The sequence below is a fragment of the Homo sapiens genome, chromosome Y (assembly GCF_000001405.40).
Source record: "Homo sapiens chromosome Y, GRCh38.p14 Primary Assembly".
In the NCBI taxonomy this organism is placed as follows: domain Eukaryota; kingdom Metazoa; phylum Chordata; class Mammalia; order Primates; family Hominidae; genus Homo; species Homo sapiens.
In genome coordinates, this window is record NC_000024.10 from 4991794 (window position 1) to 5012279 (window position 20486).

Below are 20486 nucleotides of genomic sequence, written 5' to 3' on the forward strand. Positions count from 1 at the left end.
AAGATTCTCTGGTTGAATAAACTTTTAATATCCCCCTGCTGGAGAGTCACAACACATATTTACGTATTAAAGAAACACAGGAAATCCTCCGTATAAACCTGCACCACGCCTACCTCCCCCAACTCCAATTTGTTCCTTTGCTGCCCCCTAGAGGGCCTTGGCCAGAGTGCACACGCCATCACTGCCTTCTCTCCTAGTTTCTCTTTCTATTGCAGACTACGCTGCCTAAACTCGGGTCTCAAAGTAAACAGGGAGCTCAAAGTAAACAGGGTTTGAACACCAATTTGTGGTCTTTACATCATTTGCTAACTGCTAACACCCTTCTCTTCCTTGGAGAGTTTTCAGAAAGGAAATCATTATGAAGGGAGTAGGTGACTTCAATTCCTTTCTTCCCTATCATCTTCACTTCCACATCAGTCTCCAGATGAGCATTTTACCCGGCTGGAGTACATGCAGAAAAGTTGAAAGAGATGTAGCATGGTATAAATTTGAAAAGTTACGGTAGTGAACTTGAAGGAAAAATAAAAGAAAAATAATTTAAAAAGAAAAAAGTATCTCTACTGACTCCCCTCCTCAGGACCCTGAGTTTGCCTATCCCTTATGTCCCACCCTCCTCCTCCTTCTCCTCTTCTCTGAGACCTAATCCACTTGGGGATAACAGACTATTTTCCAGTTATCTATGATTTATCTAAATCTAGTTTTTGGATCTAAATCTGGTTTTGGAAGTGTGGGTGTTAAGTAATTCAGTCACACTATTCAAGAATAACAAATGTCATTGGAAGGCATCATTACTTATTTTGATAAACAGAAAAAGTCTTACCAACACAGCCTACCCACTTCAGCATCTTCCATAGAATAAATGATCCAAGGATATAAAACATAAAATGAGAAGCTAGAGTCATAAGTAATCTTATTTGTAGGACAGTGCTAAGCAGTTTGTCCTTTTGGGATCATGACCCTCAGCGAAGCAGGTAATATTTCCTTGACACTGAGCTGAGAGCACCACAGAAAGGGACTGGTGGAAACCAAGCAGGGTGCCAATGCTCCAACTATCAGAGCCTGAGCACTAGTAATAGCAACGGGTACTACAGTGTCCCCAGATAACTGAGTTAGACGACTAATTGTATGAACTAGAACACTAGGTTTGGACTTGGAGTAAAACGCAGATCTGGTCGATCCACTACAAGAACACTGAACAGTGGGTCTGAAAAAATATCGAATTCAAAAATCCATCAGTTGACAAAGTGAAGGTTTCTGAAGGATTCTTTATTATGACAGGATTAAGTTCAGCCTGAAGGAGAGACTAGTGCGTCTGGCTCCAGCAACAGGGCTAGAGAAGGTGGAGGCTAATAATAACAACATTCACAGAGTTGGGGAATCTAGGTCCAGTATTTTATTTTCATTGCCAATTTTTCATTCAATTTTTTTTCTTTAAAAGGAAAACCATTCTGTGCTCCAAACCCTTTCCCTTCACATTCTAGCCTGACAAAAAAGATAACCAGGATAGAATCAATAGTGTGCCAAACTGCCTTTGTGGTTTCACTTCATTTAGAAGTTACTCAAGAAAGGACAATTACATTTAAAATTCAAGACATCTTTTTATTATATGAAAGTACAATGATTCACCATTTTCTACCCTATGTGAAAGAAAATATAAAAGGAATAGTTGAGACCAGCTGCATTTTTGCAATTGAGAATAATCCTGGATTTGGATATTTTATTTAAAGGCAGAAACTGACATCCAGCTAAGTTTTAGTAATGAAAAAATAAAAATTGTCAGCTAAGTTTTAGTAATGATGAAATAAAAATTGTTCAATCTCAAAGGGAAAACAAAAATCCTATGCTGATTCTCTAGACATATGTGTAATCATTTAAAATGGTATGTCTGCAGTAGTCCAGCCAATTAAAAATGGCTCAAAATAGCCACTCATTAAATACTTTGTTGACTATACCATAGGCATTGATTTTAAAAGGAAAAAAAGAGCAGTTTTCCTATACGTTTCAATGAAATACACAGTATATTTGTTATCACATATCAGAAAATATAACTGATTTTAAAAGCATACAAAAGTTAAATCTACTTAGTTCACAGTCATATAATAGAAATAAAGAGGCTTAAAAAGTAAAGGCGGCTCAGAGTAGTGTGGGATTAGTCCAGGATTCTTGAAAAATGTGTATTTGTATCAATCTCAATATATTGCTTTGGAAACATTATGTGGTTGGTTGCATATGTGTGTGCATTTCCTAAATTTAAAACAGTAGCTGATACCTATGTCCTGAAGAGATGGCCACATAGAAATCTTGATGGAATAGGAAAATTCATTCTCATTGTTAATGAAAAAAAAAAAGGATTCTGCTTTTCTCAACGAACAAAACTGTTGGAATCCTTCACCTCACCACACAACATCTGGATAACTTAAGGCAAAACCTGTCCTAAAGAAACAAGAAAGATAGAGACTGTTAATAGCATTCTAATCATTCTACTCTTTAAAAAACAATAATTTTCCCCATTCACGTGCTGCCATCACAACACAGGCCAGTAGCACACAGATGAAAATCCTCATCTGGTACAGTTTGCAGCTATTCATTTGCAGAAAAATAAGAGTAAAGTAGGAGAAATTAATTCTTCAGGGGAAAAGAGCAACCTTGAGAACAACCCCACATTTACAATCATTTATAATTTATAATCATTTATAATCAGCGCTCAGTGCTTCAGCAAAGTTCAGCTATAAACATAAGGCTGTAATTGTCAGGTTCTTGTGAAAGAAATTCAGCTACAGCTTTTATCCACTGCAATTGTGGAGCTGTTCAAGCCTACTGGAAAAAAAAAACATCTTCTATATGACCTGACTACCAAACAGTTGTCACACCCCTATTAATTACAGAGGTCGTTGAAGTAGTTAAGAATTCTTATCAAAATCTTTCCTCTATAGAAAGCCCTTCTTTTCTTCCCCTCCTTGGAATTTCAGTAAAGCATTTCTCAGAGCAGGGAACGAGTTCAAACTTTTCCCAATTATTGGCCCAAACATTATAGTACACTTCTGATATATATATTTTTTATTTTGATGGTGTTGTAAGGCCAGTCCCAGGTCTACAGAACAAAAAAAGAAAAACCAAAAAATCCTTGCAAGTCATATACAGGAGGGAATGGAGAAATGTTACTTTCATTTCACAGATACGCCCTTTTCAAATATTCTTATACATTATAGTGGTGGAGAGGGGGAAGTGTGTTGAAAGATTTCATTCATCTATGTTTTCAGTAATAGTACCCTCTAGTGTCTCCAGCTGAGATATGCATTTGGTGAGCTGCTAGGTAAAGCAGTTAAACCACCGACAGCATAGAGCTCGGTAACAAGCAGACCTTCTCCCATTTCTCAATCTTTAGCTTCCGAAGAAATTCATTTGTCTTTTGTGTATCTGTACCAGTTTCAGCCTTATTATCATTTGTGACGTGAATGCCTGAATACTAGAAATATCTACCAATTAAATGTAAAACTGCCTGTACAAATTATGATAGTAAAAATGCTTGGAATTGAGAAAGTACTTTTAACTTCTCATATCATTTGCATATGCACTATAATATTTGTAGGTCACAGTATAGTTCCCCTACCCCTGTGATGACACATGAATGTTTGTTGTTGCTTTTAAAGAGAGAAGCAGAATGATTTCACTTGGGATAAAGAGAAATGAATTCTTAACTAAGGCTTTTGCTTTAAGCATTCTCTATCCCTTTGAGGTTTATGTTATCTTTTAATTTTCCTTAACATCTTTATTTGTTTATGTCTTGGAGAGTGACAACTTTTTAGCTTTATTTTAGACATTCTGCTGAGCATTTTAGATGAATTACCTTATTTAAATATCACTACAATATTTTGAGGTGGATAAGGTTATTATCCCTAATTTTAGATGAAGGAACTGTAGCTTTTTGGGACAGCTCTGTCCAAAAAGCTACGTAATGCAAGCCACACATGTAATTTGAAATTTTCTAAAAATATTAAAAATACACAGTTGAAATTAATTTAATAATATATTTGTTGAACCAATGAGTCAATATATTATTTCATCATGTAACTGATATGCAATGATAATGGTATATTATGTTATATTATATTATATATTGAAACAGAGTCTTGCTCTGTTGCCTAGGCTAGAGCAAAACGCCACAATTATAGCTCACTGCAGCCTTCGAGTCCTGGGCCTAAGTAATGCTCCCAACTCAGCCTCCCGAGTAGCAGGGACTACAGGTGTGCACTGCCACACCTGGTGAATTTTTTATTTTTAGTATAGATGAGGTCTCACTATGTTGCCCAAGCTGGTCTGGAACTCCTGAGCTCAAGCAATCCTCCTGCCTTGGTCCTCCAAGGTGTTGGGATTACAGGCCTGAACCATGGCATCTGGTCAATATATTTTACATACGTGTGTGTGTGTGTGTGTGTGTGTGTGTGTGTTTATGTGATATACCTTCAAAATTGGGTGTGTACTTTACACTCGAAGCATATGTCAACTAGGGCAAGCCACATTTCATGTGCTCAGTAGCCACATGTGGGTAGTGGTTATCTTATTGGACAATACAGGTCTAGAGATTAATTTCTTCACAGCCAGACAGCTAGAACATGGCAGAGCCAAGACTCCAAATTTGGTCAAAAATCAAAGGTTTTTTCTTAACTACTGAGCATCACTCCCTCCTATTGCAATTGTTGCTGATGGTTTAATATTAAACATTAAAAATATCATGGAGAATGTGTTTTATCCAGTCTTTCTGTTTCATTCCCATACACCAATCTACTTTCCCAATAGCAATGATGATCTATTGATTATCACATGTCTGTGCAATGAATAGTGCAATTTGTGATGTAAAACACAAAAAAAGAATGGAATTTAGTGCAAAATAACTGTCACATGATAAATACAAATTACTCTGTTGTCATCTATCTGCATGACCTGTACACTCCTTCTCTGAACAGAGACTATAAGGAAAGACAGATCACAATGAGATGACAGATTGCTTGATAAGGGATGTTTCATGCAAGGTGAATTAAAATAACAATATTTGATTGGCTTCATCAATCTCATATCAAGGGTGATTTTGTCAGAGAGTGAAAATGTACATGAATAGGTGTTGCCAATGCTCATCTCTCTGTTTTCTTTCACCAGGATTCTATGGCTGATCAATCCTTTTTTAGATGGGCATGTTATTTCTTGGTTTTAATCAATTCTTACAGGCCTGAGAAACATCCTTACTCACCAATGTTTTTGAAAACTCTTCTTTGATCCATTATATAATCAGAATGGCTTTATAGTTTATCCCTCAGAGAATATGCATATTTCCATGTTTATGGGGGTATATATTACCATAATTTCCCTTTTATGATCATAGCAGAACCCTGGTCTAGGTTCCTAATGGGAACACTGAAGAAACAAAATGCAATAAATATCACAGTTCCTTCCTGACACCTCATCCAAAAACCAGATTCCCACAGTGCCCTTTTTGCTTTTGAGGACTTTTGTTAGTCATAAAATTTTTATGTAATGCACATTCTGAAAATGTGTCACTACACAATCTGAAGACCGTATGCTGAGGGGCAGCACAATGGACTGGACGTAACATGGGTTGGAATTTCCTGTGTATTTTACAGCTATAATACCTTGGGCATTTTTACCGAGTCTCTGTTTTCTCATTTGTTAAGGAAAACATGAAGCTAATAATACCTACCTCTTAGAATGGTTTGGAGGATTAATGGGACAATTTATATAATGCAGATGGTACATTAAAAACATTCAGTAACGGGGAGTCCTTCTGTCTGTAGTCAGAAAAGCGTCTTCATCAGTCCTTTTAGAGTTAGAATGCCTAGAGCTTTTTGCCAGGTGCCTTTTGGTTATTCCGTTGCTCATTGGTGCCACCATCAGACAGAATACAGGAGAAAAGAAAATGGGGGAAAATTTTCATTATTTTCAGATGTGGATTTCTGTCAGTCTTTTCAACAGACTCAATTTCTTAGGTAACTTTCTGGTTTGCTTAGTTCAACTAGTAGAGTCTCCTTGGTCTGTAAGTAATGTTTCTAATCTATTCAGATCACTTCCTATTGGACTATCCACCTAAAACTAAATGCTCTGCTCCATATTATATATAGAAGAATTCAGATTAACTATAAAGTAACCATGTAGCTGAATTTATGAGTTATATACCCTGAATAGAAATCTAGAGTCTGTTACTCTTTAGCGTCATGGTCTTGTGCAAATCACCTGTCCTCTATGAATTTCAGTTTCAGGAATTGCAAAATGGAATAATAATATTAACCTCATAAGTCTGTCATGATAACTTTAAATACTTTAAACGGTGACAAAATAGTTCTCTTCTCCTGCCTAGGGATTAAATGGAAATCTTCAGAAATCAATTAATTGATATCTAATGTGGATGTTATGAATAATTCTTAGTATTTGAAAGCACTCCCATAGCATGCCTGTGCCACACTGTCCCTGGATCAATCAGTGATTTTATTTGCATTGAGTTCCTGCCATCTCCCATGACACAGTCTCATACAGTATTGCAATCCCCAAGAGTCAGAGCTGTAACCATTTAGCAGCTTCTGATTTCCCCTCTCAGACATTTCCTAGCTCCCAAGAAGAGTACAATGCATGTGCTGGATACTGTGAATAATGAAGGGACAGTTACAGGAGGAGCAAAATGTAATAGTGAAGTGTCTCCTCACACCTGTGCAAGTAAATATTTCTCTGTTTTCTTTCATGCAGACCTGCATTGAGCTGCGGTGCTGATGTTTCTCCTAGTAGCATGGTTTTCGGTATAAAAATATGCAAAAAAGTGACGTGAGGAATATTTGAACCAAGGATTTAACCTTCAAAATATCAGGAATGGGAAAGGAGGCAGCTAAGAAGATGGAGAAGGATATACTGGGGAAATAAGTCATAAGGATTTGCCTTTCAGTTAAAAAACTTTCCCTGAAGCAGCTATTAGAGAAAAGCAACTTATTATAATTCTGAAAATTTTTCCTTCTTGATGTTCTATCTCTATGCAGATGTCATCTCCTCTTCTATTCAGTAGACAAAAAATAAAAAATGGATACTGTGTTATTGGTGCTCTGAAACATTCTCTACTTTTTCTCCTTTTATTTCAGGAAAAAGAGCCACCTACTTTCAAATAATTGCACAGCCCCAGAAAGATAAGTTTTTCTACAGGATAAGCACAGAAAGTGGATTTTCCCCATAAAATCGTACACCTTTCTGGAGAGAGGAATTTAGAAAATTCACCTGGTTAATTTTCTGGCGTCTGGGTAAATTTAAGGAGTTGTTCCTTGAAACAAGAATAAGAGTTGACCAGCTGGGGTGGTTTTGATGTTGTTACTACTGGTTTTTTAATCACATGCCAGGAACGGGAGAATTGGCCCCTACTTCCTTATATCCACGACCCTTCGAAGGCATAAACCAGCCACATTCCTCCTGGTACCTTTAGTGGTCCTTGGGGACCTGGCACCCGGATGCCCACCCAGCCGTCGCCCACCAGGCAGCCAGAGCTGGCTGGCAAGCACCAGGCATGAGGCTCCGGGCTGGTTTCCTCCCTCTCTTGCCCCCTTTCCTACCTTGGAAAAGCGCCGTCCATGCCCGCGACGCTGCCTGGTCTCTGGCAGCAATGCCACCTGACTCACTCCTGCTTGCTGTCTGGGGTAGCCAAATGCTAGGTCGCTAGAACTTCTCCTTCCCTCCTTCACACACACACACACACACACACACACACACACACACAGCCCTTCGCTGCTGTCAGAGGATTAATCTGGAAAGGCGATCGAAGTACCAGACCCCGCTCACAGTTGAGTATGATATATGCGGACAGCCTCTCAGCTCAAACTGTGACTTTGCCAGGCTTCTGCCCCTACTACCCCTAGTCTGCCTTAAGTATCCTTTGTATGAGAAAACGGTGCTGTGGGATGCTTGTTCTCTAGCTGGAGTCGGCAGCCAGCGGTATCACAAGAAAAACACACAAGAAAAATCAAACTTCTCTGAGAAAATGTGAATGGGTGAAACTTAAAGGGAAGCCTAAGAGAAGAGTGAGCAGAGGACCGAGGAGAACATTGTATGCACAGGGTTTTGCTCAGGAAAGCTAGCAGCCCGAAAGCGGCGCGTTTTCTTCAGCAGCGGGTCCCGCACGCGAGAGTGCTGCCAGCACGCTTTCTGCCTCCTTCTCCAGGAGGCGAGCAGTAACTTCCTAAGCTTACCTCCATCTCTCCCCCGCCCTTCTTGCTGGTTCTCCGTCAGCGGGGAGGGGCCGCCCCCGGATCGATGGGGGATGTGAGGTGCAGGGAGTGGGGACCAGAGGGGGGTACTCAGCAGTTGGTGCTGCGCCATCCCTTCCCAGCAGGCGGCCCGGACACTGGTTCACTTCTCTCCCCACGCCTTCCCCTGGTTCACCCCCCTTCCTTCCCCTTTCTCCCCCTCTGTTAAGTCCCTCCCCCTCGCCATTCAAAAGGGCTGGCTCGGCACTGGCTCCTTGCAGTCGGCGAACTGTCTGGGCGGGAGGAGCCGTGAGCAGTAGCTGCACTCAGCTGCCCGCGCGGCAAAGAGGAAGGCAAGCCAAACAGAGTGCGCAGAGTGGCAGTGCCAGCGGCGACACAGGCAGCACAGGCAGCCCGGGCTGCCTGAATAGCCTCAGAAACAACCTCAGCGACTCCGGCTGCTCTGCGGACTGCGAGCTGTGGCGGTAGAGCCCGCTACAGCAGTCGCAGTCTCCGTGGAGCGGGCGGAAGCCTTTTTTCTCCCTTTCGTTTACCTCTTCATTCTACTCTAAAGGCATCGTTATTAGGTAAGTAACCGGACTGGGTACCTGTACAGGGTGCTGTCAGGGAGGCGTGAGGTCCACACTTAGTGCGCGGACACTGCCCGCTGCCTGCCCCTGAGGTCTGAACTATGACAACGGGGTGGTTTTAAAGACGCTTCTGCTATTCTCCCTTCCCCCTTCTCTTCCCGGGAGGGAAGAGAAAGAGCAAACCCCGGAGGTGAGCGCAGGGAGAATATCTTTTTGCACTACCACCGCTGCGCTTCGTTACTTTGGGAAAACTCTCACTTTTGTCAGAAATGTGTCGGCGCATGAATTTCCCCGACATTGGCTGTGCAAAAAGGTCTCTCCCTTTAAAGGGTACAGCCAGCTTCAGCGAGGCTGAGGGAAACTCTAAGGTTGGGGCGGGTGTTGACAAAAGAGCACGTCCCGGACTCCCAGACTCGCCCGGCTGAGAGATTGGAGCTGAGGGGCGATGCCTCTAGCTGAGAAACTACCCCTGGCCTCGCTGCGCTCCTCTGGGGGCTCGGGTTTGGATCCCTGCCAGGCTGGCTCCAACCCTTGAGGGTACGACCCTTGGCGCAGAGAGGAGGGCCAGGAGCGCACAGGGTTCCCGGTGCTGTTTCTCTTGGCGCTCACCTCCCCGCCCTTCCTTCCCGCCCTATTTATGGGGCTGTACTCAGCCAGCACCTGCTGGATGTGGAGATGGTAGGTGTGAGAAATACTGCCTATTTTTTAAAAATCAACTTATAATCTAGCCGAAAAACGGCATCATTTTCTCATTTTAAAAAAATGACTTTTCTAAGAGTATTGCCAGACATAAAAGGGTTCCTCTTTCTCTAAAGAAATGACTTGTAATCCCTTAGCCAAATAAATAAATCAATAAACCGCCCACCTATCCCATAAATAGATGGTGTTTTCTAAGACAGAACCCAGAAACAGTTCACGTCCTCACAAAGGAATTCTTTTTCTTAAAGCGCGTAGCGATAAAACGGCTCTTTTTTTTTTCGAGGAAAGTAATGTACCTTTTAAAAGAGGTTCATCGGAAAATGTGACTTTTTAAAAGCGAGCAGCCGCAAACGGGTGCATTTTTTAGACTTTAGAAGAGCGGAGCGGCAGTCCGCCCGGGTTGCGGCTGGGACTCGCATCTGAGCGCTTAGTCGCAAACGGACTGAGGGTTAGGAGGAGAGGTCACTTTCTCAGAGTGTACAGCCAGAGCCGCTTCCTTGCCTCTCCCAGGGAAAGACTTTTAGAGCTTAACCGAAGGTGGGCCCTTTTGCTTCAGAATGATTTATTCCGCGTTCCTCTGCTTCACCCGCCTGCGGCTTAGGGTGTGGGGCGCTAGGCTGCTCATGTGAAGCGCTTACGGGTGAGCCCTGGCCTCTCCGATGCAAAATATGGGCTGGGGGCTGGGAATTGCTATTTGCGCCACTGCGGCCTACACCCACAAAGCAAAAACCGTGGGGAAGAGGGGCTAGGACAAAAGAAAAAGAATTAAAGCTCAACAACAAACAAAATAAAAATTTTTAAAGTGTCTTTTTCTTGTGTGGAAACATCACAAAATGGGATTTAAACCCAGCCTAGGATCTGTTTTGTACGAAGAAAAGTGTGTGGAAGAAACTGGTTGAAAATCCGGGTAGAAGGGGGAGGGGGGGCAGCAAAGATGGGGAGGAGGCGATGGTGTCATAGCAGTCGCCTGTGCGCTCTTAGCGCTGCAACCAGGAAACAACCTGAGGAGCATGCAGAGAATTCCGAACGCTGAGCACACCTGAGAACATAGACGTGCTTTGTGACTTAAAGCGATCTAGGCCCCCTAAAAAGTAAAACAGGTGTGACTCAAAATAGAAAAGGAAACGGTACTTGAGGGCACCCGCGCAACTTGGTAAAGACTGACGGAATTCCACTTTTAATCTTGTTTGAAACAAACTCTCGCAATCCCAGCAGGAAATTCCAGCGCCAGGGCTGGCCTTTCCTCTGTGGGTCTGTGTGTGTGTGTGTGCGCGCGTGTGTGTGTGTGTGTCGCGGCGGGGCTGGGGGTGGGGAAGCAATTGGAAGCAAGTCGAAGTAATAGTGTATGTACACGTTTCCCCCTTTCTTGCCTTTGTCTAGTTCATCATAGAGAGAGCGCGGACCGTGTGCGGGCCGTCTTGACGAAAGAACCGAGAGATGGATGCGCTAAGGTCTAAAGATACCTTTCTCCCTCGACTAAATTAAGAATTGCTGCGGCAGTTCCCAAAAGCTGAGTCCCGCTGCAGCTGCCAGGTCGCCACACTCGCCAAGCGGCGAGGGAGCGCCTTTGCCTACCAGGCCGGAGAACCCTGTTCTTCAGTCGCCTTGGCAGGGGCAGCCCCTCCTTCTGGCAATGATGTCAGCTGCAGAGAGGCTTGGCCCGGCCGATGGGAAGCCGAGCGGCGAGTCCGACCCGCAAGCACGAGCAGCCCTGCCCCGCGCGCTCCCTGCGCGCAGCCGCCCTCGTGTCCCTTCGGCCCCTCCTGGGTCCTGGCTCGCAGCCCCCCCCCTTCCAGTCCCTCGCTCCTCAGAGGCGCGCTAAGGCGCCAGAGGCGGGGGTGGCCACTGCTGGCGGCCCGCCGCCGGTTTTAAACCCGGGGTTCAAACCCAGATTTGGGGTCTTCCCTCCTCCATTTCCTCCTTTCCTCCGCGCCCCAGCTCTCTCCCTTTTTCAGCTTGCACCTTCACTATTCACAGTGACTTTACTTATTTAGCAACATTTTAGAGGGCAAGTGTTCCAGATGCAATAATAGTAGTAACTGGTGTTAAATTTCTGCTGTTTTCTCTCCCCTCGGGTGATAAAAAAGATGTGAAGAACGCCTCTTTAAAAAAAAAACCCCCGTGGCTGCTGCTTCGCCTGTCACAGAGCAAGCTCTCTAGAAGGCGGGGAGGGTCATCTTTCCCACAAAATTGTGAGGTGGGGGAGGGTTTGTAACCTTAGGCGAAAGCGCAGGCTGGGGAATCCCCTTCACAGAAAGAAGAAACTGCAAATTGGAAGTTGCGGAAAGGCTCTATCCACTACTGCCATAGGGGAGAGACCACCATGCTCTTTATTTAGAGACCCGCGCTCCAAATTGGGATGATGCAGGAATAGGTTTCTTTAAGACGGAAGCCCGCTGCGGCTTCCCTTTTGAGCTTGCTCTTATAGTCCTAAGGAGCAAGCCCCTGCTTTGCCAAATTGGAGGCTAATCTGTTTTCCTGATTGCGGACAATTCCTTCTTTAGCTTTGGTAGAAGGGCCGCAGAATGCAGTTGGAGAAGGTTGCACAGGGCAAGAGGGAGGGGCAGAGGCAGGGCGTGTAGAGGCAACTGGCGCCTGGAGCAGAATTTACCTTCCAAAGGAAAAAATCTTCAAGGGGTGTCGCAACAAACTGCTTACTTACTGTGTTTTGGTTTGGACGCAGGTGAGAGATGTGGGCAAAGGGAGCAGGAGCAAAGAATTACTCTGTTTTGTAAAAGTAGGATTCTTCCCCCTTCCTTTTCTTCTTCCCTTTGATGAAAAGCTTCCCTTTCATGACGTATAGCTGGCAGCAAACTTAAAGTTGCTGTGCGTCTGAAATACAGGAATGGGAAAGAAACTCCGACCAAGCATAAAACACACTCATTTTCTAGAGCTCAGTCATTTGCTAAGGGTTGAAATAAACTGTGTACCCCCACTCCCTGCCCCTTCCCCCTGGCTCCTTGGCCTTTTTGTCACCGGACTGGATTCTGAAGGACGTCCAGGTAATGCTGGGTTTCAGCAGCTGAAAGGCCTGGCAGAAGGGATTGCAGGTTTCACATTCTTCCTTCTCTTGGTATTCAAAACTTTATTTATTTATTTATTTTTTGCGAGATAAAAATTCTTGATAGAGAGCTTCCAGACTGCTGGTGGCAGGGAAGCAATCTGGTTAAGAGATTCAGAAAGCAGAAAATTCTTTTTCTCTGCGCAAGCAGTCCACAACAGCCTTTAGCTAGGATTTATAAGATTCTTGGTGGAGCAAGGCGAGGCACATCGACAAGGAGAGTTTATATAAGCCACTGGCCTTGAGGTACATTGAAAAAATATGTATGGCAGCCACGTTTTCTTAGTGGGAAAGAAAATTATTCAGGGAATGAAATTTTGAAGGCTAATTCTCTCCAAGAATCTTGCTTCACATAATTTAAAGGAGGTGTCATCCCTGTATTTGTTCACTGAGGAGTCCACAAACTTTAATTAGTCACCTACTGTGCCAGACAATGTGCTAGGCTCTAGGAATACAAAAGAGAGTATGACAAACATGGCATGGGCCTCTTTGAGCCATGACACTCTTATAGATCTAGGATACGATGTGATAAATGATGTAATTGAACATAATGGAGAGAGGAATTAATTTTTGTTAAGAGGTTGAGAAGAGGTTCATAAAGGAGAGAGAGGTCTGTGGCTTTAAAAATAGTCATTCCTAGTCAGTGGCTAGCCAAGAAATGTATCTGGAAGGTCATGACCTGCACAGAATAAGTAAGGAAGGGCATGAGGGCTTGGTGTCTTGTTACAAAGTTTAGAGGTATATGTGTGTTTTGTAGACCTAGAACATCTTTGAATATTTTTTTCCAGCAAATTCGTTAAAGTAACAACAATAAAATAGCCTGAGAAAATTGGGCAATAGATAGCACACAGTAGAAATATTATTGTTGTTTGCATTTAAATGAAGAATTGAATACATTGATGTATTACAGTAGAGACTGGAAGCAAATATGTTAAGAAGATAATGTAACATCCAGAAAAGAGGACTAATGAAAGAATAGGGCCTAAAGCTAATCAGTATAACTAAGAAAGAAAAGAAGGCTACTTTGGGGAATAAAATTTCTCTTTAGGCACCATCATGTATCCACTCAGATCTTTTTACTCATCTCACTTTCCCCATCCAGACTTCGAAAAATTCCCCATCTTCCATCTATCCAGTAAACTCCCTTTGTCCTGGGGAGACCCCCACTCCTTCAGCCACTTTCAAGCACATTCATCTTCACCTCACCCCATTTTCTACACACATCCCTGCATCATCTCTGAACCTTACATCATGTAACATTTTACCCACTTCAGCCTTCTTTCTACAACCAGTTAGAGCCTCTTAATCTTGTCTTTTTCCTCCCTTTAGGCACTAACAAATAGCTCTATCTTGCTTCTTTTTCCTCCTCTAAGTCAGGTATTCCCCGCCCCTTTCCCATGCATTAATTATCCTGCTAATTTGTCCATTCATTTCCCCCTTTTACATCCTCCTCCCCCTTAGCCACCTTGCATTCTCCTATCTTTCATTGACCTCAAAGAAGCTAAGGGGAAAGAAAAGCCACTCTACTTTAAACTTGCTTAGATTTGCCAAATTTTCATCATCAAGGTTTCTTCCTTTCTGTGTCTTTTGCTGTTTTAGTTCACACAAGACTTTTAGTGGAATTCCTTCAATTTGTTATATATTTTTATTATGCCTGCAAATGTCTGTTTTCCTTTGGTTGTGGCTGGGGATTCAAATATTTTACTTTGGGGAGTATTTCCAACCTTTCTGAAGTTCTCACTGACACACTCCTGACACTGTTTCGCTGCATCCCATCCTTTCTGCTGTATTCTCTTCCCATGGGTAATTCCTTTTATATTTTCAGTGAAATTCTTTCTTATTTTTATTCCCTCCTCCCCCCCTCCTCCTTTTTTTCTTTTTGCTTTGTGGGATTGGTACAGTGGCTCAAGTTTAAATATTTTGAGAAGGGACCCCCCTCAGCAGACCCCCTCAGCCCACACACAGGATTTTAAAGCCTGTGTCAACGTGTGTTCATGTCAACATACAGTTACCAATCTTCAGAGGCAAAGGAACCCCTGTTTGTTTTATTTTAACTGCACTCTTAGAAAATTCTTTTTCTGTGTGTATGGTAAAGGTGCAATTCTCATATCGTTGTTCTCTCTACATTCAGTGGAATTGATTCAACATCGCTGGGAATTGGGAAGGGAAGAAAGAGTATGCTGTAAAAATACATTTTTCATCAAAGACATATATACATGCTACGTTTGGGAAAAATAAAATACTTGGGAACATTTAATTGGATTGACTTTATATTACAACATTCCAAATTACATGTCATTGTCTGAGCAGAGTTCTATTATTTGAAGACTTTATTGATCATTCAGTGTCCAGAATGAAGAAAACTAGGTAAGATGTCTTGATGTTCCAAACTGGCTTGCTATGTTCAAATTGATCATATTTGAAATGGTGTTATTTTTCAATAGAAGTTCTTCACGAAGGCATCATCTCTAAAATGTGGTTATCTTTTCTTAGGAGAAAACATCAAATGACCTATGTGTCATGGTCCCTTAAGATTTATTCTCTATGCAAGGTTAATTGTAAAATAAAAGTTTATCAGATAGAGAAAACTATTTTAGGGTGAAACTGTCTTTTGATATTCAGTTACATCTGGGGAAACACTGCATTCTCATTATCAAACAGCACCAAAACGTGGGAAAAAGAGTATTTTTCAATTACTGTTTTGAATTTGAGGAGTAGTTTGCCAGAAATTATAGATGTACCTGTTATCCTTTTGCAATCTAAAAATCCTCAACTGTTCAAGGATTTAAACTGCCCTTTTAATTGTCTCTAATGTGTTATGCACTGGATTAATATAATACATTTTAAGACAAAGAACATCAGTGGCTACAATTTTTGTTTCCAGCCCAAATCTGAAAGAATGATTTTTGTACACCTAATCTGCTCATCTTGAACGTGTAGATTTGGGTAAATAGGAGGAAAGATAAATGAAAGGAGAGAATAAATTCTGGAAGAATATATTTCTCTGTTCAATAAAAACTGTTTTAATAATCTAATATAACTTTTAGCATGACAATGATAAAATTAATTTGCTGATGGATTTTAATTAAACTAAAGGAAAATTCATTTCTTTTAAAAATCCTTAAGTGATTAGAGTGCAAATTGAGATTTTAGCTAATTATATAATTCAGTTACTATCATCACATAAAATGAAATTAAAAGATTGTTTTCTGTCACCTTTATTTTGATTCATTCTTTAACTCCTTCAATATGTATAGTATTTTATATTTTTATATCATTTAAAAAGTTATATTAGGATCATAAAAATTTTTTGAGTAGAAAAAGAAGGCATGGTTATACCCATTTTGTCAATGGGGAGACTGAAGTTCCCGCTGATGAAATCAGCTCCCTAAGAATTTCCAGAATTAAGAGGGGAAGCTTCAAGAGGATTGATGGTCTTTAGTCTCCAAGCCAGGTCTTTTCCCAACATCCCTTCTTGCCTCTTTTTTATTTTTGAGTATATGTTGTCAAAGTTCTGAATGTAAAAAGCAAAAATCTATGTGTCTTGGATTAAAAAATAAAATTTCAAAGACAAGTATATTCAAATATATTAAAATAAGTTTTTCAGTTAATTTTCTACTAGCATTATATTCTCCTATTTAGTGTCTTTTTGCACTAAGCTTTGTAAACATTATATGATATTAAATAAAATGGTAGAACTATTGAAATGTTAACAGTACATGCTTATATGCTTCTTCCATTTTGTTTACAAAAATAATTTAAATTATGACCCATCATAATGACAGTCCCTAAAGTTTGAGTTTACTTAATGTAGCAAATGTTTAGTCCTATATCCTACTATCCTACTGTCATTTTTTTAGAACACCTGTATTTTTACATAAGATTTATTTTAGGGGATGTTTGCCAATGATTTTTAGGTAGTGTTTTTTTTCCTGACATGACATTTTGGAAGCAACATATCTTTGGTAATCAGTTGAGTGTGGGTTTGTATCATATCAACCGAAAGGATATTAAGCCCCCAAAATTCAAATCGTTGTTTGTTGTCTTCAGATTACAAACTCATTTCAGGTACAGTGAGAGCAGGGGTTTATTTAAATTGTGTGAACACAAGGTCTTTTATGATTTATGTTTTATTAGTGTCTAGAGAGTGACCTTGGGCAAAAACCTTCACCTCCCTGGACTTCAATTTCCCCAAAAGTAAAATGAAGGAATTGTAAGTTACTTCAAGGCCCTTTGCAAAGGGAAAAAAAAATCCTGTGATATTTTACAAAAAGCAGTAGACATCTAGGACATTCTTTCCTTGTCCCTTGGCTCTGCACGTATTATCAATTTGACTGTATTGATTCATTAACCATCAATAACTAAAAACCTATGGCTTGTCCAGCATTGCAATACTTTAAATGTTAAGGGTGGCCCTTAAAGAAATTTTGGAGAGTTCTGTCTTTGAAAAGCTTATATTCTAATAGGGCTAAAACAATGAACAACAACAACAACAAAGTAATATATAGTCACATTAAATTGAATTCAACAAATATTCGTTGTCACTCTACATTACAGTACACCAAGTATAGTGCAGGTTTTATAGACTCTGAAAGTGGAAGGGACCGGAAAGATAATTTAGTCCAAACCCCTCATTTTACAGATAAGAAAAGGAAGGCTCAGAGATGAGATATGAGTGCTACAGGAGTTCATGTAAGGTATTGGGTGATAGCATGAATTAATTTATTCCACAAACATACTTGTTCCCTGCTTTCCAACGTGTTTAGAATTTTAAAACACCATCATGTAGGGCTTTTTAATTACCTTTGCTCAAATTTAATAATAGTATCTTATCAGAAAGTTAAATGTATCCAAAACTTGTTTGTTTTTTGTTGCAGTAAACAATTTCCCACTCTGACTCAGATCTAGAAAATACTGTTTCCCAAATTTTGTATTGAATAGAGATTATTAAAAGCACCTGTATTGTGCATATTATGTTATAAAACATAAAAAATGATGTTTTGATATGGAAAACAAGTGAATGGATTCAAGTATCAATGCATTATTTTATTTTTTTAAAAAAATGACTGGAAAAGCCCATTTACTTAAAATGGCTAGAAATATACATTCCTGGAAGGATGGTTTTATTTTTATAAATGCATATTTACTCTAAATAGTTAAGTACACATTTCCTTTAAGTTTTAAATATAATCTGGGGAAGATTTTGAGTGCATTCTCTAAAATTTGATGTTTGCTACATAATCTCATTCTCTATGCCAGGGCATATGTGCGTTTGTTAGGGAGTATGGGTCAGGCAAACGTAGGCAGGAAAATTATGCCAAAGCAAAGCTTTCCCTTCTTTCCTGAGTAATCGTAGACTGCTTTATTTTACTTTGTGACAGAGGAAGAGGGGAGGAGAAAGGAAATCAAATAGAGAAGAAAGAGAACTACCAGAGCGTTGGATGATAGGGCCTGATTTTCTCTTCAGTGTGAAATATGGAAGCTTTTTGAAACTGCCTTGGATAGCTTGTCTCTTTTACTTCTCATATTATATATTTAGAATACCTTAAGTGTTGGCTGGTCTCAGCGGCTCACGCCTGTAATCCCAGCACTTTGGGAGGCTGAGGCGGGTAGGTCATGAGGTCAAGAGATCGAGGCCATCCTGGCCAACATGGTGAAACCCCGTCTCTACTAAAAAAAATTACAAAAATTAGCTGGGCGTCTTGCTGCGCGCCTGTACTCCCAGCTACTCGGGAGGCTGAGGCAGGAGAATCCCTTGAACCCGCGAGGCGGAGATTGCAGTGAGCCGAGATCGCGCCACTACACTCCAGGCTGGCGACAGAGCAGGACTCCGTCTCAAAAAAAAAAAAAAAAAAGAAAAAGAAAAAAGAATACCTTAATTGTTATTTGATGGTTGTTTGCTAGGTTGTGAGAATCAAAATCTTCCAAAACATGAATACATTAAATTTTTTTAAAGAGAGGCTTAAGAATAGGTAATACACACACCAAACACACAAACAGGACAAAACCTTTACATGAGAGCTCCTCAGGCAGAATTTCCTTTGCCTTTCTTTTTAGATCGGGAAAGAATTTGCTCAGTTTGTCAGTGACGTTTTACCCTTCAGTCTGCCTCCACAGTTCTTAAAGCTTTCCTTGTCTGCAGCCTTTCTTAGTCCATGAATTCAGTTTTAGCATCCATAAAATAAAGCAGTTACAATATGTGCTGGCCATTTTATAATGGCCATGAGTGCAAAGCAGGATTACTTAAGAAAGAGCATTTGAATTCACTGAAAGTCACAGACATTCTGAATGCCTCAGAACTGCATACAGGAGTAAACAGATATGGGAATATAAGGCTAATGTTCAAAACTTGGATAGCTGGCATATATAACAGAATCAAAACACTTTAGAAAGAAATAGAACCAATATACAATTACTAATCAATCAGCATCACTGCTAACGACTTGTTATTTTAAACTCCAGTTTCTAGGAAATTACATTCTATTCCTGTGCTTCTCAAACTATAATGTGCAGACAGATCATCTAGAAATGTTAAAATGCAGATTCTGATTCAGTAGATTCTAGGTGAGGCTGAAATTCTGCATTTCTAACAAGCTCCCTGTACACATGGAAGCTGCTGCCCCTCAAACTACAGTTATCCAAAAGGCGCTGATCCATAGTCTGGTAAACAAGCATGATAAAGATGAAGTAAGCCAAGGGTAACAGGATTTCTTAAAAGAAAAAAGAAACAATTTAGGTATGTGCAATGGATGAAAGTTTTAAATTCAACTAGATTTACAATTATTTGCATTTAGAGGTTAAATTTGATTTTAACCTTTGGTGTGACTATATTGGTTGAAACTGTAGTTCAGAATAACAACCAGTTGCTTGTCCATTTTGCAGTCAAATCTATTTCATGGACACTTTGTACATACGATTATACCATTTCAAAAATGAAAACCATTCGTCATACAGTGTCAATGGTGTACCAATATCTTAAAATCTTTTTAAAGAAATCCAAAAGCTGTGAGAAGTCTTAGTATAGTATAGACCCCTAAAGATATTGGTTTGTAAAATATCAGAATTGAACATATCAGCTAATCATTCAGATTTTAGAGTGGAATATCCAATTAGATTTTCATTTACCTAATTTGAAGAACTTCTTTTTATTTTCTTATTAGTCACATTTTGCAGAACAACAACAGCAACAACGAAAGACACTTGGTAGAGATTATTTTGTATTTGCTGTCTCAAAATAAAAGTCCTCAAAGTGGGAACAAAGGTAAATTAGACACCATGCTAACCACTTTCCTCACAACTAGACTTTTATCTTAGAATACAGCCGAATAGTCACTTAATCTAAGTGAAACTTTCATTCATTATTAGTTTAGGAAAACTTTCATAGTTCTCATTTCTTTATGTGCAGCTCAGAAACAGTATCAAGTTAAAACACATGACATTGAAAGCAACCATTGAAATAAGTGTAAATGTTTAAATTGTGCTTGCTAGGAGACACGGTATAGTTCTAGCAGGGTTAGGAAAACAACTGAAAGTTTTCACTTCAGCGTTGGAATTCATGTCTTAATTGTACCATTGAGATTCAGAAGCCATCACCTTCCCGATGAAACTGTACTAGTCTTTTCTAAGCTCTGATACTTACAGGAACAGCAAAGTCTGTTTAGTGGTAATAATTTGAGGATCTCAGTGAGATAAAGGGCCAATTGGATTAAAATGTTCTTGTAAGTGCTAAATGAACTTGAGTGTCTGCCAAAATTGCCTTGGATTTCATTACTCTTAACATTACTTAATAATGTTAAGCTAGCGCCCACGTGGGTATGAACCCCAATCTTGCTAACAGTTTTCTGTATTGGTCTGTTCTTGCATTGCTATAAAGAACTACCTGAGACTGGGTAATTTATAAAGAAAAAAGGT

General features: G+C 40.3%; 1 protein-coding gene across 6 annotated transcripts in view; it reads left to right on the top strand.

Annotated features, from left to right (window-relative positions):
* Positions 8503-20486, top strand: part of PCDH11Y (protocadherin 11 Y-linked) — a 741933-nt gene continuing 729949 nt past the window's right edge. For 4 of the 6 annotated variants that reach the window (XM_017030080.2, NM_001395587.1, NM_001278619.2 and 1 more), the window contains exon 1: positions 8503-8812. The gene's annotated coding sequence lies outside the window, so the exon portion shown is untranslated. Of the gene's footprint in view, positions 8813-10894; positions 14943-20486 lie in introns of all 6 variants that reach the window. The other 2 variants (XM_017030079.2, XM_017030081.2) reach the window with 2 other exon arrangements.